The sequence below is a fragment of the Homo sapiens genome, chromosome 10, assembly GCF_000001405.40.
Source record: "Homo sapiens chromosome 10, GRCh38.p14 Primary Assembly".
Classification (NCBI taxonomy): domain Eukaryota; kingdom Metazoa; phylum Chordata; class Mammalia; order Primates; family Hominidae; genus Homo; species Homo sapiens.
In genome coordinates, this window is record NC_000010.11 from 61,652,520 (window position 1) to 61,675,256 (window position 22,737).

At 36.5% G+C, this 22,737-nt stretch overlaps 1 protein-coding gene across 8 annotated transcripts in view; it reads left to right on the forward strand.

Annotated features, from left to right (window-relative positions):
* Positions 1-10,409: 10,409 nt before the first annotated feature.
* The window catches only part of CABCOCO1 (ciliary associated calcium binding coiled-coil 1), a 103,838-nt gene continuing 91,510 nt past the window's right edge, over positions 10,410-22,737 (forward strand). For 2 of the 8 annotated variants that reach the window (NM_001366908.2, XM_047424714.1), the window contains exons 1-2: positions 10,410-10,646; positions 20,113-20,216. In NM_001366908.2, the coding sequence (NP_001353837.1) occupies positions 20,191-20,216 (26 nt within the window). In that variant the 5' untranslated portion in view covers positions 10,410-10,646; positions 20,113-20,190. Of the gene's footprint in view, positions 10,647-10,738; positions 10,832-20,112; positions 20,217-22,737 lie in introns of those variants that run through there. The other 6 variants (NM_001366906.2, NM_001366907.1, NM_173554.3 and 3 more) reach the window with 4 other exon arrangements.

The window sequence follows — 22,737 nt, forward strand, 5'->3', positions numbered from 1 at the left end:
GCTGGAGTGCAATGGGCAATCTCGGCTCACCGCAACCTCCAACTCCCAGGTTCAAGTGATTCTCCTGCCTCAGCCTCCGGAGTAGCTGGGATTACAGGCATGCGCCAACATGCCTGGCTAATTTTGTGTTTTTAGTAGAGCCAGGTTTTATCCATGTTGGTCAGGCTGGTCTCGAACTTCCAACCTCAGGTGATCTGCCCACCTCAGCCTCTCAAAGTGCTGGGATTACAGATGTGAGCCACTGCGCCCGGCCGAGAAAACAGATTATTTTGGTCATTGGACTATTTATTTTCACAAAACGTGCAATATTCCTTAGCTTCAGTTAAAACAAGTATGTGCACAATCTATGTTTTCTATTTCCTTTTGAACAGTAGACACCCCTCATTTTCAGGGATACATTCCAAGACTCCCAGTGGATGCCTGAAATTGCAAGTAGTATTGAACTCTATAAATACTGCTTTTTCCTACATATACATACCCCTATGATGAAGTTTAATTTAAAAATTAATCACAATAAGAAAGTAACAATGACTACAAAATAGAACAACTATGACAATATACTGTAATAAAAGTTACATAAAAGTAGTCTCTCTCTCTTTCCCCTCGCCCCACACCAAATATCTTATTGCACTGCACCACATGTATGAAGAGCAAAAACATGGAAAAGGGGTGATTACTGTAGTTGCCATTTTAGAAATCCATGTTCATGTTTACATCACTGGATTTTACCCCATTCATCTCCCTTGCTAATGTTTAAAAAATTAAACTTCAAAGGTAAATAAATGAATGTGTTATATTATTTATATAAATTATTGTCCACAGTATATTTTAATGTATTTATTATAACTATAAACATACATTTACTTATTGTAACATACATTTGTTTATCATTATAAAAGCTAGTGTAATGAGACTCTTCCAGCCACATCAGTCTCAACATCAAATTTATTTCAATATTCTGACTTGGTTTCATAGTACTAAAATGAATTTTTGAACTACATAAGTAATTACAAATGATAGTTTGAAAAAAAAAAACCGAAAACCTTCCCTAGTTGTCTCAGGATACACTTCAATTAGGTAATTCAGACCTTAAAATAAAATCAAGGTGTAATCACTAATTGTATCCCAGCTTTTCTCAAAATAAGGCAGGCAAAAAGCACCTAAACCTAGTAACACTAGAAATACCTTTAGTATCACACTATATAAATATGTTATAGGTTCCCTTGTTAATGAGTTGCCAATGATTCCACTACGATGTGAACATATAACCACCAGACATACTTGATTCTACTCCATGCTATACTTGAGCTGTTAAGCAATTTTATGTAAACAGGCATGCTAAGGCTTGATTTTTTTTTACATCATGAAAAATTAAAACACCCTTAGCCAAGGAAACATTTACATACTGTTCAAATGCATAAAGACGAAAAAACATTTGCACATCTGCAAAAAGTACCTACCTAACACAGTTTAGTAAGCTGGGTCCCTCCAATATGTTAATATGTGGACTATAATATATTTAAGTATGTGCTTTTAAGTATAGTATGAAAATATGGTTAATAATAGATGTTTTAAAAGCTAATAAATAATATCCTGGTGATCTGTATTTATAAATACAAATACAGTTTGTAAGCTACTGCTTTGAGACAGTACAGTGTATGTAACTTGGGTTCTTAATCAGATAGTCCTGAGTTAAAATTCTATTGTCTCTACTAAATAGCTGTGTAATACTGGGTAGATAATTAACTTCTTTAAGCCTCGGTGTCCATATCTGTTGCAAGGTTTAAGAAAGAAACACACAAAAGGCACTTAGCCAGAATGCTAGTTATGATAATAGCGATGATACACTTTGCTCAATTCTCATCTTTTGTCTAAGGCCTATCCTGATTGTCCTATTCAAGACTGCAACATACCTTGATTTTCTTAACCCCACACTTCTAATCTCCTCAATCTGCCCAATTTTTCCCACTTGCTAAACAAACTATTAACCATCAGCCCATAGGATTTCCAGTTTTTAAAAAATCACATATAATTAGGCTTTTTGTAGATCTTAACTCCTCAGAGTCACAAAGACAGGATGCCTTCCAAAATAATAATTAGCAAGTTCGTAAATCTTCAGATAGAATATAGATTTTTCAACTCATCAGAATAGAATTTCTGAGAGGACAGAGTTTTTGCCTCTTTTGTTGACAATGCTTAGAATAGTACCTGATACCTATACAGTAGTCCATAAATATTTGTTGGATGAATGCATGATAATAGGAAAATGTCTCAGTGTGCATTTTCAGCAATTTTACCTGGTCTTAAATTGTGGAAAAAAATTCTTTACTCCATTTTTTTGTTCCTGATTCTCAATGTAATAGTATAATTAAGCACTAATCACTAAAGTTGGAGTTAGAAACCAGGACTTAATAAGGAGTTTGACTCTCCATGTATGGATACAACCCAAGCCAGCTTCATTGGTGTCCCCCAGGATTTAGGGTTTGCATAAGGAAGAAAGGGACAGCTCTCTGGGCAAAGACAGAAGCTAAAGTCTACAATGTTTCATCTAGCATATGCTGCTGCCAGAGAAAAATTATTGCAACATTATGTGTCCACAAGAAAAACGGGCCCTTCTTTGTCCAGTCAAGGAAGGAACAGCAATTTTGCCAATGGTTTTTAGAGGATGCAACAGCAACACGAAATCAGAAGCATATTCTGCTCTGCTGTCTCAAGCTGTCCTTGGACCCTGTACCAGTGACCACTGGAGTCTCCCACTTATGGAGTCCATCGAGTAGTCTGACTCTTCTTGAGTATGGCCCAAGATTTGATGGGAAGGCTGCCACATCAAGAATGGCCAGACATTCAGGAGAAGACTGCCCAGGCAAGAGCAACCCACCAAGCCTTTAAGAATGTATACTTTAAACATATCTCCACTACCTAATTCATCTGCTGAATTGCAATCAAGTTGCATCAGTCAGCTTTGCATTTATGGCCATGGCATCAAGTTAAGTCTAATGCTCAAAAGGGAAAAAAAGTCTCATTTCAGAGTGTCATTTGTCTAGAGGATGCAGGTCCCAAAAAAGGCATTTTCCTAGTGACCTTCCTAGTAATTACAAGGGTAATTCCTGAGCAAAGCAGAATCTACTGGAATTCTGTGGCCTAATCTCATATGATTCCTGATGACAGCTGTGTGATCTCATGTCATGGTGGTTTTGACTCAGATGTTCCATTTGACTCCATTTTCTCTGTCCAAAGTCTGAACATCACTTCTGTTCTGCCATCCAGCTTCCCTTCTGTTCTCTTTTCCAATTGTCTACTTTTGTTTTTCTGTGCAAACATTCTAAGTTTGTATTCCTTAGCATAAGGAACTGTTTAAAAATTTTCTGAGAAGAATCATCAATGTTACATGGAGATAGAGTAATTTTTCCTAAGGTTTCTCAGCAGGTCAAAAATATTCCTCAACCTTCACTATTCTAAATTGCACCAAAGCTACGCCTATCTGTGTACCAGTGACCATGAGTGGCACCATAAGGGGCATGATGAGACTATCATCAAAATAACAGGCTGGAGACCAACCATTAACCACCAAGAGACTATGATTTCTAGTTTCAGAAATATCATATATAATCTTCTCATGCTCTTTACAGACCTACATTTCCAGCACACATAGGCAAATGGTCTATTTCCTTCCAAAATTAATGACTTCTATTATTATAAAATAAAATAAAATAGAAAATGACTAGTAAATCCTGTGATCATTTGTTACAATCTTCTGAAAGCTGCACAATGGCACCCTGAATTTCTCTCATGTAAATGCTTAACCTAGCTTTGAGGCACATGAAATGCATTTCATTCAAAAAGAAGGCACATGGACCTTTTAGCTATGTAGAAAAATAATATTTCAATTTTTCCTACTGGTCGCAGTGGCTCATGCCTATAATTCCAGCACTTTGGGAGGCCAAGGTGGGCAGATTACTTGAGGTCAGGAGTTTGAGACTAGCCTGACCAATATGGTGAAACCCTTTCTCTATTAAAAATGACAAAAGTTAGCCAAGCTAACAGGTGGTGTGCACCTGTAGTCATAGCTATTCAGGAGGCTGAGGTGGGAGAATCACTTGAACCTAGGAGGTGGAGGCTGCAGTGAGCCAAGATTGAACCACTGTACTCCAGCTTGGGCAACAGAGTGAGACCCTGTCTCAAAAAAAAAAAAAATCCATGTAGTGTACTAGAATCAAGATTAACCATAGCTACAAGAATATTTTCTACTGATTAATTTACTTTTTCCATCATCATGCTCTACCATTTATTGGATGCTTAGCAAAGCACTGTAACAGATTTTGTGGAGGGTAGAAGAAATCATCATAACAGCTTCTGACACTAGTAAGGGGAATAAAGCTGTCTCTCAGGTGAAGTCTTTGAAGGCACCAGAAAAGACCTTCTGTTTTGAAAATATAAGCCCCACAAGTTGGCAATCCTCTATTAAAACCTCGTTCATTTGAGCTGCAAAAGAATTTTCCATCTTCAAGAGTCTCCTAGTACAAAACAAAACGAATGCCTCCTGGTAAATGATAAGACATATCATCTCATACTTTAGTTATGACTATATACCTGGGTTGATAACCTACAAGAGAAACACACTAAATGGATTAGCAATTATTGTGAAGGCCTTGGGGAAGTGGGGAGTAGGGGGTGAGAGGAGAGGCATTGAAGGAGAAATGGAAAGACTCCAGAGATAAATTTCATCAACCCAGCCAGGGTCTTGAGCACGCCACACAGCTGAAGTAGCATGGCATAGCGAGCAGAGTGGACGGGCTGCAGAATCATAGAAACTAGTTAATACCTGTGCCTGCCTGCCACATACTTAGCCATGAGACATTAGGTCAGTTACCTTGGCCCTCTGAACCTCAGTGTCCTCGTCTGCAAAACAAAAATAATACTATCTACCTCTTAGTGCAAGTAAGCTGATTAGATGAAATAATGCATGTTATTTCATTTCCCTGGAATTATAAATGTGCAAATACACCAGAAATGTTTAATAACAGTAATGCTTTGTATTTGCTAAGGTGAATGTCTCAGGCAATGAATTCTTTGGGAAATTATATCACAACAGAATTTTCAGAGATGAAGCTTCCTTAGAGATTATCTAGTGGCTTTTAAACTTCTTAAAGCTCAAAATCCTTCCTTCTAACAAAATTTATAAGAAGCTGTTATGTAAAACAGGTAAAACTAGAATTGCTATTTTTCAAAGTTGGTGGGTGGAAAGTGGTGCAGAGAAGAAGGCAATAGTTGGTCAGTTGAGGCACTTCCCAGAATCTCCTAGAAGAGGTTTCTTCAAAAACGTCTTCAAAGAGCAACGGAGTCCCCTGCCATTAATTAAGTGGCACCCAGTGACTTTTAGGCAGTTTCAGAAGGAAAAAAGAAAAAGTCTGTGAAACCGTTTGATCATAGATATTTTGCAAATTTAAAGTGCAGGATAAAATTCTTTATGGCTAGCTCAAATCATCTGTTTAAAAATCCTGCCTTTGCTTTAGGAATTTGGGTCAGTCTACCTTGGCTAACATTCTGGAAACAGGGTGCAGTGTTTTCTCAGCTGAAGTATTTTCACATAATACGTATGTCCCTGCTTAGGATTGTTACCTTGTTTTTTGCATTAAACTACCAGTTCACAAACATGGATCAGTGACCTAAAAGTGGTTCACCGAAGCATAAAAGGAGTGATGAAAATACTAATGTAAATACTACCATAAAGAACAATCTGTAAATGGAAATAATTAATAAGACTCATGTGCAAATATAGATTATGAATCTAAATGTGCTGGGACAAGTTAATGTATGAACGACACGCATTCTCACAAGCAGCAGCCCCTGCCATGTATACTCCTCGTAGTTTCCAAATTCACAACATCCTATGACATGGGATAGGTTTTATTGTGAAAGGTCAAAGCTTCAAGGCCAGGATCAGAAAGAACAAAAAAGGAAGGCACTGTTGTTTCCCAAACACACCCCAGCGTCTATGGAAAGGCTTGCCAGGGCCCAGGAGCTGTTCTTTTGACTTTTTATAGCACAAATTTTAAATGAGTCTTGTCAACAGGGGGACTATACTACACAGTCTGCTTGACATTGGAAAGTTAAGATTTGGGGAACCACCAATCTACACAAGTTGTCTGAGACAGCCAGCTGTCTAAGACAGGCATAACACAGGTCCCATGGGTAGTTACAGTCCCCACTGTCTGCCATCAGTCCTGAGGGTAATTGGGTGCAGCCCCTCCAGCTGGAGAAAACGGTGGGCTGGGGTGCAGCCCTACCTAGACAATTGTGCAAGAAATCCACAATAAATACCCAGGGTCACTTACAGACAATACTGCTCGCTGCACAGCAACTAAGCAGTGGGCAATAACAACGGTGTTGAACAAGCCAGACATCTTCCTTACTAAATGTTTTGGAGTTAGTTTTTGCTAAAATCAGTCAAAGTCCGAGCAGGAAACAGCACAAATATGGTAACTGAGGAGAGCTTGTTAAAGGAACTGTTCACAAACAGGTAGGCAGCCATAAGTAAAATCAACAGCAGCAAGAGGAAGCCATTACCACCTCTAGGCCTGAAGAGGCGAGGGGAGGGATGGTTACCAAAATCCCAAGACGGCTCTAGCTGTGGAAGGGGCTGAAGGACAGAAGGTGGCCTTCAGGGCTTTTGGTGCAGGTATCCAGCTACTTCTAATCTGTAATCCTGCAGAGAGGGGACTGGGAGAATAAATACCCTGATCTCACTCTTCCACCTTCCAACCCCGTGGTGATGCTCCCATTGGCAAAACCCAACCACAAGTCAGAGGGCAAGGAATGTGGCAGAATCAGCTGATGGGACCCATAAAGGTTGGCACGAGACCAAGCGGAGACGGGGAGAGAGTGGATATGAGGAGCAAGCGAAAAGTGTCCACGTACTAAGAAAGACAGGAACCAGTGGCAATTTTGGGGAGGTCGGCTTAGGAGAGCTAAGGAGATGAGAGACTGATTACAGAGCTGGCGTGGGTAAGGAGAGATGATAAGAGAGGGACTACTTTTTCAATATTTTGATCAGGAAGGAAAGGAAAATGTCACAAAACTATCTTAAAGAGATCTCTGTAGTAGGAAAAGATAGTATTGTCTGGTTTGGGAAAAGGACTTAAGTTTCATCTGAAGAGCAGAAGGATCCATTTTAAAGGGAGTGACTAGAGAAAGAGGGACAAACATATGGACCCAAAATGGGAACGGACGGTTTTGAAGACAAGAATTAGTGTTACATAAATATTCTCAAAATAGTATTATACCAACTGTTTTCTGGAAATCATTATCCCACCCCACAATAATTACTCACTCTTAGAATGTAAACTATGGTATGTTTACTATATCATGTCCTAAGTGTGTTTTATGAAGGTAAGACTTCACAATGTTCTCACATATGACCTGAACAGACTACAGTACTTCGTTGAAATGAGAAGATCAGATTTAAGGATTAGATAAAGGTTAAGAAAACTTTAAATACATTTCAAAATTGGTTAACTATTGGAATACTTTCTTTGCTAAAAATAAAATATGTAACTAAAAGTGAATGCAATTACTTACAAATTAAATTGCTTTTAGTCTTTTTTCATTCTACATCTATCAAGTTTCATGGATCTCAAGGCAAGAAACAATGTGCTGTCTAAATTCGATCTCTAGAATGATGAGATCTCTCATTACCATTTAGGGGCATACTGAATTGTTTCCTGCCTGATCTTCTTAAGATTATCATTATCTATCACTTAATAGATTGAAGACCTCAGGAATCACAGTGTTGGAACTACTAACATGTCATTAATCTCACTAATGGCATTATTTTGTTTATTGTTGAAGAACCTCATCATATTTAAAATGAGCTAGAGACACAGGAACCATGAAGAATGCAGTAGAAATGTTTACCCACCCTAAGAACACAGTTAAAATCTGTCAGTATTCATTGCCAAATATTGCCACACCGGACTGTCAATATCCATTATAAAATTATCTAGGCCCCTCTTGAGTGTTTTCCTGGCATTTAAAAGTATGCTTTATTTTAAACATTCAATACTTGGTTAAACTGGTAAAATTGTGAAAATGCCCCTCTTCAAGAGAACATGATTTTATTTATAAAGTGTTGTGCCACTCACAGGTTTATGGATATGTTGATTGGAAAACTTTCTTTAGAACAGGAACCTGAATTCAATTGATCAAGTAATATCAAGCTATCCCACATTTCAATGTGATGTGGTAAAAGTCAGTGGTCTTTTAAAAAAATAACTGTAAACTAGACCCATATGCTTCCTCTTCTCTTCCAGTCCTAAAACAATAGACTAAGATAACAAATGGAATTTTGCAGGCTTTGGTTAGAGGCCTTTATCTTCAAAAGAGACCTAGGAGGGAAGACTTAACTGACCTTTCCATGTAAGAAAGTATATCACCTACTGAGATTTGTCTTTCTTGTTGGCACCTACCTACAAAAGAAATGGGAGGCTAAAATCAGCTTCAACTTGTGCAAATTAAAAGTAACCTTCAGGCTAATGGGTTTTAAACATCACTTCTTACTGAGCAAAACATTTGTGTCCCAAAAAATTAAATTACCCCCTCAAAACTGACTTCTCTAACAAATTACAACATTAAATTTTTTAAAGTAAAATTGTAATTCCTACAAAACAATTCCCCTCTCCCTGAGATAACCATCCTATTACTGTTAGAATTGATTCCATCTTTAATGGAGTTTTGCATCTAGTTCTGGGGTCCAAAACCAAAAACAGGAGAAGAAAACCTAAAAACTGTCAAAGAAATGGCAGCAAAATTAAACGCCTGAAAAGTAAACCAAATCTTTGAGAAAACTGGAACTCCACGTTAGAGAAATAAATGCTTTATCATTTTATCAAACACTAAATTCAAGGAATATGGTAGAGTCCTTACCTTGAAGAAGGTGACCAGCTATTTTCAATTTCTTTGGAGTGGCGATCAGAAGGAAGGAATGAAAAAGATTAAGCACTGTAGTGAGTGGTGGCTTTTGTACTAACTCTAGCAATCACTAAAAAGTGACTATATTTTCACCAATTGAAGAAATTTTAATACGGTCCTATTGAAATGGGGTTGTAATTCATAAATGTATTGTTGCATGCATTCTTTGTACTGAGAACTAAACTAGCTCCTTCAGAAGTGAAAATAACAAGGGAAACAGTAAAACCCACTTGAAAAGATGGGCCATACATTTACAAGACTAGAGACAACTCATAAACACAGGTTGACAGTACAAACTGTATACTTTGAACTATGAGACAATTTGAAGGAAAGGCACAATTATCATGAGGTTATATAAAGCTAATGTGTTATATTTGGTCTAAAAGACAATGGGCTAATATAAAGGAGAGGTTCATGATGAAATATTATATTATCCTGGCAGCTGTCTACAATATGGACTAACATCAGGAGAAGCACAATATTAATACTAACACTAATAATATCAAACACAGACCACTACTAGGTGTCAAGGCTGATATAAACATTTTCATATATATATTAATCTGTTCAATCTTCACAGTCATGTTTTGAGGCCAATACTGTTATTTCATTTAACAGATGAGGAAACCGAAGCACTTAAATGATGTCTGATTTTCACAGGAAGTGTCCTGCATAGCAACCTACATGCAGGTAAATACAAGCCAAGTACATTTCGTTTTCAAAGGAGGCGTTGATCATCCAAAGAAGTCAAGAATACTCATGCTGCTATGTGACATTTCTTATTGTTTGTAAATGTTTTTGTTGTGGAACACTTCAAACATATACAAAAGGAGAATAGTACACTTTCTTTCTAGTGTACTATTAAGTGCACTATTAAAGATCGAACCCCTTCCATTCACATGCCTAATCTAGATGCATGTGCTATACCACCACTCATTTCCTGTGCCCCTCCCTCATTATTTTGGAATAAATCACATATTTTATATCATTTCATCATCACTAAATTGTTCGGCATGTATCTCTAAAAGATAAAGACATATTTTTCCTTCTAAACATGACCACAATACCATCATGATACTTTAAAATTTACAATGATTGCTTAGTATCAAACATCAATCAGTGGTTGAAGTTCTAATAATATATCTTACTTTAATATTTGTTGAAACTTGCAATGTGCTAGCATTAGGTACTTTGACATATTTCATTTAAATTACTACTACTTGAATTGCCTTTTCCCCACTTTCACTCCTACTAACAGGAAAGACTCGGTCTCTCCCAGAGGATTCAGGGCCTCCGTAGCGGGCTGCTGTCGGCCTCCCTCCCGGCCTCCTGCTCCTCTGCGCGGTCCCCAGCCCTCTACCCGGCGGGCAGAGGCTCGGGCCCAGCGCCGCCTTCCGCTGGGATCTGTTCCCAGGCCCAGGGACGCCGGCCCCACCCCAGTTGCCTAGGTGACGAGGGGCCGCTTCTCTCGGCCGAGATTGCGGCGATGTCGCAGGGGACGACTCCCTGGGGGCCGACCCCGGCGGGAACCACGCCCGAATCGGAGGTACACCGCCCCTTTCCCTTCCCGGTACCGGTGCCGGTACCAGAGACCTCCGAGCGCTCATTCCCAGTCCGCGGAGTCTGCGGCCAAGCCAAATCCGGTCTCCGAAGAGGCGCCGCACGTCTGGCCCCGGCTGGTGAGCGGCCTGGGAGGGCGGCAGGGCTGGGAGCTGCGCTGGGGTCCCCGACACCCTCTGCAGCCCGGCGCCCCCCAGCCGGCCCCGGCGCGCCGTGCACGGTGCCAGCGGGTCTAAATGTATGAATTCTTCCATTGGACGGCTCCGTGCCCAAACGCCCTCATAACCACGCGCTTCTACCGCAGGTTTTGTTTTTTGGTTTTTCATGTTTTTTTTTTTTTTAATTCTAGGTAAAATAAGTAATCTCAGATTTTTAAATGAGCCAGTCTCTTTTTGAAATTGCTACTAATTTTGTAATGATTACAGTGTTGCGATTGCTCAAAAGGTGTCATGAAATAATAACTGTTTACTGGTGATGGACTGATTAATATTAGAAGATTGGTGTTTCCATTATTTTGCCATTTTCCTAAACAAATAAATACAGGTGAAAGGACACTGGCTGGAAAATCTTCTCTGGTTATGGCTTTAGTTGCTCATCAGCTTGACTTTAGGAAAGTTATTTAATCTCCTTGGACACCAGTGGCTTCCTGTGTGACAAAAGGTTGATCTTTAGGCCCCTCCCATCACCAGCTCTCCATAATAAATGGGTTTTAAGTAACTTTACTCATAAACTTAATATCCTGAGATTTTAAGAACACATCTGCTGTGCCAGATATTATAAAAAAAAAAGTTTAAATCTTTGCACACGGAGTCTGTTACGATTGTTCCTAGGAAGTTTTTTTTCCTCCGTTTTGTTAAGGCTCTCAAGGTGAATAATCATGTCTTAATTAACATTGCTTTGCTTGACTTCCTTATTCGTTGGTCTAAACGACATTCTTTGTGCAGAAGATAAGTGTTAGCTGCAATTTTATAAATGAGGAAACACAAGGAGCCAATAATTCCATGCCTTGCTCAGAGATATATAAGCTGTTCCCAGTCGAGATTCCTACCAATACAAAATGCAGACCACTAAGGCATGCGGACTCTCATATGAGCCTTTTGAAATTAGCAGACATTAAAAGTACATTTTAATGTGATAAACTGGTACTAAGCCTATTATTCCCTTGTGATCTCTAATGTAAGTAATACAATTTCAAAAGTAGCACAGGAAATTTTCCAATTAAATTGTGTTATTTAAATATATACCAAGCTTAAGACTATGCACAATTATCAGTGTACACATACATATGCTCACCCACGTAGACCATGTCCTTTCCAAAAAGACTGATCATTTGGGGGTTTTAATGAATCTGGACTTTAAAAAAATACAAAATTTTTTAAAAGATGTAAAGAAGTGCTATGCTTCAGGAAAAAAAATCATTTTATAATGGTTGAGTCAGATGAATGAGCTAGTTATAGATCTTAGATTATTATCTACCCTCTTAGGATTGTCAGCTTGCACATTTTTCAACTTCTTGGAGGGCCAGGTATTCTCATGACATGCAATTCAGGATGTGCTCAATCACTTAGTAACAAACAGAAGAAATCAAGTTGTAACAGGGACTTAATTAGCAGTGTTCATTTACTAAGATGACACGCTAATTCGCTGCTTGGTGGAAACTCCATTTTCCGTTTTAATGAAAGCAGAGTTTCTGTAGTTCATGGGGAATATAGTTGATGCATAGAGCTGTGTCATTCATTAAAACAAGTCCTGCCTGCCACCCATTTGTGCTGATTGGGGGTGTCGTATGTTAGATAGAAAAATGGCAAGATTCTCTCTTGTGGTCTGTTCCCAAGGCCACCACTTTTTAGGTAAATACTGAAAGGTTCTTCTCAGATCAAATTCTTTACAATGTTGATCCCCCAACAGCTAATCGCTTATGGTGTCATTTCTAATAAATTCTGTATCCAAAATGACTTAGCCAGTAGCCCATGTAGTCAACTGAGCCAAGCAGTTCTGAATTATTTCCTTTCTTGCCAAGTCTGTCAGAAATAAATCATAAGCTTTCAGTAGTCTGACGTTTCCCATTTGTTGTTTGTGGCCAATACCTAGAATAGAAGTAATTATCCCAATAACATAGTAGGCACTCAATAAATTATGATGACTAATTAAAATCATGGATGGTCTGAGGCATGCCAGGAAAGGTAGTTATCTACTCTATGAATTACTCTATGAGTTACTGTGAACAAGCAGATATGAGATGCAGATCTAGAGAAATTATTTTTTCTGTGACATTGAATAAGTCCTGCTTGCCAACCTTCTGAATTCAACATCCCGAGTTCTTTAGTAATATTGGAGGAAATGCCTCCCTTTACATGGTAAAACTAAACTTTTGGCAGATATCTGTATGAATGCATAACAGAAAAAATGACAAAAATCTGAAAATAAATATTTGTTACGCATAGACCTGTAAGTGAAAGGAGTTTATAAATGTGTACTTGGAATTCAGTGATCGATTTTGTATCAATAATTTTTTTCATATAGTGACTTTTTTTAATATCTTCAAAAATATCTAGGGAAGGCCGGGCGCGGTGGCTCACGCCTGTAATCCCAGCACTTTGGGAGGCCGAGGCGGGCGGATCACGAGGTCAGGAGATCGAGACCATCCTGGCTAACACGGTGAAACCCCGTCTTTACTAAAAATACAAAAAATTAGCCGGGCGTGGTAGCGGGCGCCTGTAGTCCCAGCTACTCGGGAGGCTGAGGCAGGAGAATGGCGTGAACCCGGGAGGCGGAGCTTGCAGTGAGCCGAGATCGCGCCACTGCACTCCAGCCTGGGCGACAGAGCGAGACTCCGTCTCAAAAAAAAAAAAAAAATATCTAGGGAATTGAATCATAAGTAGTACACTTACAAGGAATATACTTCAACTTACATCAGAGACCTAAAAGAAAACACAAATGATTATTTCCCAATTGCTTCTTCTGAGTAATGTCTCTTAAAGTGTTATCACATCACCCAGTAGGTGACAATTACTCAATGCATTCACGGCTTTATCAGGACAGGATGCTTACATAATTTTGAGGGGTAAGATGATGTAACCTGTCTAGGAGATCATCAACATATCCTGGAGCAGGCCATAGACAACTCTCTCTACATTGGGTCGTCCCTAAAGCCTTTAGAAAACAGACCCCACTCCATCGTTACAGAGAAAACTCGGGGCTCAATTGAGCAGCAAAATTGTCAGTTTCCTGCAACATCAGTGTCATTCAAGAAGTATTTCTCGAAATTATGAATAATTCAATGTAAGTGAACACATTGTAATCACATAGTACAGATCAACCTATGCAGGCTATGGGGACAATGCCAAAAAAGTCACTTAAAATATTGTTGAGAAAACAGTACTAATGGACCTCAACATGTGAGTACATGGTAGCTGTATTTATCAGACACTTAAAACTTGTAGCAAATTCTGGCTGTAGCATGGAGATATTGACAAACACTTAGGCTTGTCATTCTTACTGTCGGTCTTTGGGTTTACTGTCTTATTTAAGAAGTCCTGCTCCTCCTCTCCCTTCTGTCTTCCTCCCTAGATGGCACAAATAGTCTTCAAAATTTTTCTAATATTTAAAGTTTTATTTTACTATAGTTTGGTCTTTAGCAAGTCTAGAATTTTTTTATATTTGAAATGAGGATCTGATTTTATTTCCTTCTAGAAGTGAATTACTGATTATGTCAGCTTCATTTACTAAATAAACTATTTTGTCTCTTCCCATTGAGAACAGACTGACTGTTGCTATCCCATTATATGTATACATGAATGGACAAAATAGGCAGCAGAAGAGAATAGCAAATCCAAAACTATGTGTGTATATTATATATTATATATAAATTTCATATATTATATATAAATATAATTATATATTATGTATAAATATAATTATATATTATATATAAATATAATTATATATTATATATAAATTTCATATAGTATATATAAATATAATTATATTATATATAAATTTCATATATTATATATAAATATAAGTATATATTATATATAAATTTCATATAGTATATATAAATATAATTATATATTATATATACATTTCATATGTATATATAAATATAATTATATGTTATATAAACATTTTACATATTATATATAAATATAATTATAAATTATATGTTTATTATATACATTTTTATTTTAAAAATTTTGTATATGCATACATATACACATATTTATCTCTACAAAATAAGTCTTTGGATTCTTTATGCTTTTCCACGCACTAGTTTGTCCATTACTGTGTCAATATCATGTCGTTTTACATTCATCTTTAAAATCTATTTTGGAAAGTTCACTCTATTTTTTTTTCTTGACAAGTATGTCTTCTTCCATAGGAACTAAAAAGTTATTTTGTAAAGTTCCAGAATCATCTCATTGGGGTTTGAGACTGTCATTACATTACATTTATAATGTAGGAAGGACTTAGTTCTTTGAATTTGAAAGTTTTCAATAAATCTCTTTTATCAAGTCTTGTTCTTGAAATTTTTATAGTTTTATAATTTATATAGATACTATACCTTTCTCATCATATTTATAACCAAGTATAATTCAATCAAGTTTTTACCTTTTCTGTTTCTAATTAGCTTCTTGTATAGGAAAAAACTGGCTTTTACATATTTATGTTATATAGAACCATCTTGCCAAATTTTTTATTAGTAATAACTTTTTTGTTAGTACAATGTCCACTTTCTTAGGTATGCAGCCTTGTAATCCTCAAATAAGAATTTTCAAATTTCCTCATTTCTGCTATTTAAGTTACATATTTAGTTTTCTTATTGTATTAGTTAGAACCTCTATAGTGTGTTGAATTACAATAATGTTGCCATCCATCACCTTTTTGTAGTTCCTTGTTTTCATAAGAATGACTTAGGATTTCACTATTCCATATGATGCTTGCAATATGATTTTGGCAAATAGTCTTTTTCGTGTTTAGCATTTTTTTCTTTTCATATTTTACTGGGAGTTTTGCTGCTGAATCTTAGTAAGTGCCTGTTTATTATATATTTAAATAATCATATAATTTGTACCATTTAATTTGACATAAAAATTATATTAGACCTGCTAATGATGATCCAACCTTGGATCTCTAAAATTAATCTTATTTGGTCATAGGTATAGCTTGTAATTGTTTTAGTACATTTTAAAATTTAATTTTCTAAGAGGTATTTTAATTATAATTTTTACATCTGCATTGATTTGTGATTTTGGTTTATAATTTCCTTTTTTGTTAGTTCAGGGTTTTGTGTGTAGACTATGCTGGCCTCTTAAAAATGAACTCTCTATAGTCTGTAAATATTAGACTAACATAGAATTTATTTGTTATATGATTAATAAGTAAAACTACAAGTGTAAAACCATCTGGGCATGGTGACTTTTTAGAAAGCAGACTTCCGGTTTAGTTCATCTTTGATCAGATCAATTTTCTCGTCCAACCGTGATCAATTTTGAGAACTTACATTTTCCCAGGAAATCACCCATTTTCTTAAAATTTTCTAATGTATTGCCCCTGAATGTGACACAAATTTGTTTTCTTTATGTTTCAGTCACATTTGCCAAATATTTGACTATTTTATTAACTATTCTAAGGAATTACCTCTTGCTTTTACTTATTTTTCTTTCACTTTTTTTATTGTTTTTTAAAATACTGGCTTTTTAGCTTCATAGCAAGACTATGGTAAGGTGAACGAGGCACTCTCCTTGGGCACAGAATTGAAGGAAGTGCCAAAAAACTCAGTAATCAAGATAATTTCTATTTTAATGCAATACTTTAAAAAAATCAAACCTAAAGCCCCCAAAAAACCCTGATGGATTAAAATTTTCAGTAAAGATCAGATCTGTATTACTGTTTTTTCCTTTTGCTTCAGCTCCAATATGGCTTAGCACAGCACTGCTCCTGCTCCTTGGTTCATTTATTTTAAGGGTTGGGGAAAAAAAAAAAAACACCTTCCAAGTCTAGAATTTGCAGACCAGTCTATGTCCTCTGTGACTAGGAAACTTCTCTTTAGTAAACTTTGGTGAAATCTGTTATCTTTCTTTTGGTGAATACTTATTAAAAATTTTTTTTATATAAAGCACTACCAGTGATGGATACAAAGATGTCCCTAAAAGTTTACATTCTAGAAAGAAAAAATATATACAAATGTGAAAAGTTTAGTTGACATTAGAGAGGGAAAAAAATTAGAGAAAAACATTATCTGGCAGATAATATCAGGCTTACAGTTTTATTGCTCTTGGAATAACTCTTAAAATCCACCAGGTGGTGGAGTAAAATGAATTAACAGTGCCATTTAGCTTACATATTTTCCTAGTTGGAGATGTAATTTTACAGAGAAAGCCACAATTACATATCCACATATTTTAGCTTATTTATGAATTTTCTATTATATCTTTAATTTTTACAAAGCAGAATGTATGTGTTGAAAGATTAAACATTTTTAGCCATCTGATAGCCTTCTCATGCAAGTCACTGTATAAACAAACAAAAAAAGCAGTCTGGTTTAAAATAGGTCCAGGAATATAATTTAAAACAGAAGAAAAAATCCAGAGGCAAACTCCCCTAAAAGATGATTATATTAAGCCTGCAAATTTTAGTAAAAGAATGAGGCTCTAATATTAGGCATCTTAGCTAGAATTAGTACTGTCCAAAAGGTTAAGATTATTGGATTCTCTTTCATATAGTTCTTGTGTGACCTACTTTTCTCCTACCCAGAGATTTTTCAAATCAGATAAATTGATCTGAATGTCTGTATAATTCACTTTTCATGTATATATTTATTCATTATTAATATGACAGTAATCTTGTGTGTATTAAAACACATAAAAATGATATTTAATATGAATTAAAATTTAGGTTCAAATGACTTGCCTTAAGTCATAAAATTAATCAGTAGTCAAACTATCATGAGATCTGGAGTTCCTCTAAGTCCTGCTTTTCATCATGCTCCACTATCTAACAATGTCATCAGATGATGAAGATGAATTTAGACAGTCAGTTAGCAACCTATGTTGACATATCAAGAACTGCAGAATCCTAAAAAGAAATAAAAGATTGAATGACTGTCCCTGAGGAATTTACAATCTAATGGGATTGACCCTATAGGAATAATTATACTTTACCACTCATAAAAATATATATAATGAAAATCATTTAAACAAATATATAACCATATATTATAGATCAAAACAGTACCTTAAACAAAAACTGGGTGCATTTAATTCAATTTGTAAATATCTGAGTACCTACTAGATGCAGCATACTAAAATACTTTTTTCTTAATGAGTTTATAATCTAATTATATGACCTAGTTTAGATTAATTGGCCCACCGTAGCTTACAAAAAAAGTGGTTAATAATGTAGCATATTTTATTTCTAAATTAGATTTTCAAAGATAAAAATGTAGCACAATAACCTAATATTAAATTACAAACATTAAGCCAATTACCATTACCAATAAGTGGTAGGTTTGAGATTTTTCCACTTTTGAAAAAGAAAAAGAATTTGGTATGTTATCTGGTAAACTACCGCAAGGCAGTTTTTTTGCTGCCCTTATCTTTTGGAACTCAATCGCATGGAAGGCTCAATAACTATTTGTTGCACTGAAAAACATTTGCCCTCTTTCCCCACAAAGTCTCATAATTTTTTATTTTTGTGTAGCTGCTGCTGTCTTGCCTCTATTTCCCAGTCTCCTCTTCCATCTCCCCTTCACAGCTCTTCTCTTCATGCCCTGGCTTTGAGCAGTCTCACCCATTGTCACAGTTGCAGTTGACTCCTAAACCAACGTCTGTAAACTTGACCTTTGTGACTCCAGCATTTCTAACTAAACTCTAAACATTTCTTTCTCGCTATTAGTATTCCACCTTAAACTCAGCCACTGAAATCAACTCAACATCTTGCTCTTTAAAAACTAGCATAGTCTTCCAACACTCTATTTCTATCAGTATAAAAAGGGTTGGCTGGGCACCGTGGCCCACGCCTGTAATCCCATCACTTTGGGAGGCTGAGGCGGGCAGGTCACGAGGTCAGGAGGTCGAGATCATCCTGGCAAACACAGTGAAACCACGTCTCTACTAAAAATACAAAAATTTAGCCTGACATGGTGGCAGGCCCCTGTAGTCCCAGCTACTTGGGAGGCTGAGACAGGAGAATGGTGTGAACCTGGGAGGCGGAGCTTGCAGTGAGCCGAGATCAGCCACTGCACTTCAGCCTGGGTGACAGAGTGAGGCTCCGTCTCAAAAAAAAAAAAAGGTTTGACATGTACAGTTATGCAGGTTGTGCTCTGAGCAAAAGCACTTGGCTGAGGGGTGAGTGGGGGCTAAAACTAGACTCTATTCACAGGCAGTACACTTGGACACAGAGCTGTGTCAGCATTAGGGAAATCTTTTCAGCACTTCCTCCACCCAAAGAGGATATCTTTGTCTAACTCACACAAAGGTGGCATATGTATTATTAGTATCACCACCATTTCCTCCAACTCACCTATTTCAGAAACTCAGAATCTCCATTCTTTCTCCCCTCTTTTAGGCCCCCATAACATGACTACATTCACCACTTTCTTTTCATCCACACTGCCAAGGAGACCGGAGCAGCCCAACGCTTCATCCCTGCACTGTTTAAATGGCCTCTTTGTTTAACTCTTCCTCTGCTCCTGTCTTTCCTTCACCCTCCAGTAGATTACCCTTCCTTAAAGCACAGTTTTGTCTTGTCATTTACCTGCCCAGAAACTTCATGGTTCTGAGTGCTGTCTGTATTACTAGAAACAAACTTCTCAGACTACCATTCTTCAACCAGCCAGGGTCTAAAATATTTATGATGCCTTGCTGTACCTTGTGAACACTCAGTACATATTTGTTGAATCATTAAATTTAAGATTGCCCACCATACCTTTCCAATGCTAACTTCCACCTAAGTCCAACTAGTCACCCTCATGTAACCTAGGTAACATTGTGAACTGCTGATATTTACAGAACTCCTTCCTAATTATCCTATCTTCATAACCTTGGTGTTGCTGGTTCATTCACATGGGGCATTGGCCACACCTAACCTTCCAAAGCCTATTCCTGGAACTCCTGTCTATAGAGTTTCCTTGTCTTGTGCCTATGCTTGTCCTTTCTTTTAGACTGAATGCCGCATGTATTATGGCTTACTTGTGTTCTTTTCTTCTTTTAACATCAACCTAGGCTTGCTCCTCTCACTAGATGTTAAGCTTCTTGAGGTTAGCACGTCTTTCTTGTTTGTATTTGCCTCCTCATAAGCCCCAGATTCAATGAGGAATGTTTAGATAATAAATATTTGTTGAATTGAAAACCATCACCCAGTTGTACATATGCCCAAAAGACGGATTGACTAGCCATTTGACTTTTCAGGTGAAAGGTACCGTTGCATAATATGGAAAAGAAAAGATACCATCTCGAAGATTGTTGTTTTTAAATGTTTTTCCTGACAGCAACTAGACTATAAGAAGAGCCAACTTTGTTACTATTGGGTTTAATATATGAAACGTACAATTAAAGTAACTCACTCCACATTGTGTTTTGGTAGAGAGACACTGAATTCCAGGAGCATGAAAAGATTCTGTCTCCGGATTTTCTTTCAGTTGCCCAAATCACTGATTTGTTAATGGAGGACATCGATGGAGTTCAAGAGTAAGCACTTCACTATTACAATCACATGTAGAAGAACAGTTCGAGTTCTGCATCTGTAAATGATTGTGATTACATGTATAAGCTTTTTTCACAATATTTGTTATGATATTATGCACTGAAAAATATCTAGACTTCAAAACACAAAAATTCTCAAGTAACTGACTTTTGGCACTACTCAACAGTCTCCTTTATAAAGAAAATACATTGCAAACCAACTTACTAATATTTACCAAGAGCAGAGGTTTGTTGATAAAAGCAGGCTATAGCATATGCTGTCTTCTTTTCTCTTTCATTCATAAAACTGTCAATATGCACATTAACTTAAAGAATGTTCTCCCTCGTTGTAAGAAGAGTAAGTTGTGTTTTCTGTAATTATAATGGGCAATGCATTTTATTATTTTGGAAATCTTGAGTATTTGCCATCCACCTGTGATTCTCATCAGAAATAATGCTATACTAAGTACTCTGATTGTGTACATGTTACTTAAAAATGTGAATACAATGGAATTTATAGGCAGTAATTCCAATATATGTACATCTCACTCTTTAGGCCATTTATTTCTATAGTAGATCATCTATTTAGAATTTTTGTCAGATACATCCAACAACATAATATCCTAAAAGGTGTTTTTAGTAATCACCCATTTAAAAAATCATCCCACTTAGAATGGAAGCCTAATTGGCCATCGTGTGTAGAGAGTGGGGATGATGTCATGCACTAGCATCTTGGTGTCAGTTCTCTGCAGGCCAGTCCTTGGGACACAAACAGGGTGTCGTGGACCATAACAGACAAATAGAAAATGACTCTGTCAGTGGTTATCACTGACAAATCTTACAAATGTTATAGCATAAAGATGACTCACTACTGAGAAGGGAATATGACAGATGTCCTGGCTGGAAGAAAAATCCGAGAAGGGAAGGTTTATCAAGAACAGGTGAATAACACTGACAGGCCTTTTCCTGAGCTGCTCAGCTCTAGCGCTGGCAACCTCTGCTGGAAATTGATTATCTGTGATCAGCCATACCACTTACTATCTGCATCTCTACAAGTATGAGTGAATTTAAAATTTCAGAGATTTTTAAGCAAGTATCTCCTGATGATTTTACCATTTTTATAGAAATTAAGGTTCGTTAGGAATTCTGATTCTTAATGTAAGAATTGATCTGCAATACCACTGATCATGTCTTTATGTAAAATGTTATTTTCCATTTCCAGGTAACCCCAAATGTTATTGATCATTGCAATGCAAAACAATAGGTATTTGATACTAGGCAAAATAGCACAATGCGAATAGCAGACATTTTATACAGTTCTTAATTTATTTATATTAAATGCCAAGTAAAAGATATTATATTAAATACAATTAATATTAAATAAAAGGTGTTGCAAATAAGTGCTTTTCAGAATTATTTCTTCCCACGTTGTAAATTGTGCTGTGTATCATACTTTGTGTGATGATTTTTTAAAATTATTGGCTCTCTTTGTTGTTGAATATCTAAATTCTGAACATATTTTTAATCTTTAGGTGGTAAGGCCTAGGATACAGTAAGTGATACAGAAGGTGATGCAGAAGTTAGCAATATAAAAACAGCCAGGCTCAATAGCAGGTTGACCTTTTTAGACTGTCTCATTAATGTAGAAATCACCTGAAGTGACCTCAAATTTTAAGACATCATCTTTGGATAAATAACATCAGTATTATGTTAGGAGCCATTTCTTTGTAAAACAATTTTCTTGAGATTCTTTACATGATTTTCGTAATGGTAATCCTGAAATATTTGCAATCGGTCACTCACTTTCAATTTAAAATAGCATTATTATAAATGGGGGTTATATGCTTTCAAAATGACAGAAATATAGTTTAAGTATCCTATCACCAAGTGACAGAAAATCATAGAGTCTACAAAGTTATAAGCCTATTTAAATAAGTTAGAAGAAATCAGCACATTTCCCTACCTCTTAAAATTAAAAATTTCTCTCCATGAAAGCAGCCAACAAAATGAAACATTAAAGTATCATTAAAACATATTTCTGAAATTCACTTTAAGCAGTTAAATGTCTGGGTACATTTCTCATGATCACTTAGCTGCTATCAATCATAAATATTTTAATGTAACCTTGACTTTATTTATAGATCCATCTCAATTTTTTTTAAAAAAGAATAAGGACTAAAATGAAAGTAACTATATAAACACAAAAATAACACTGAGACATTTTTAATAACCTTTCGGTAACTGGGCCTCCATGAGCTATTTAGCTCTTGCCTTGAGGTTTATTTCTGCATGTCATATTTAAGAATTAAAATGCACCCCATTGTCAAGAACATGCAAGAGTAATGTAATATTTTTACCCAAATTCTTGGTGAGACAAAATAGATAGGTATATCACCTATCATCACTATACCAAACTTCCTAAAACACAGTGAATCATCTTTCTCTTTCCCTACGTTCTTTCATGCTACCGCCATAGCCATCTCTCCCCTCTCCCCTGTTCCAGCTCCCGTTATTCCCAGAGAAAAAG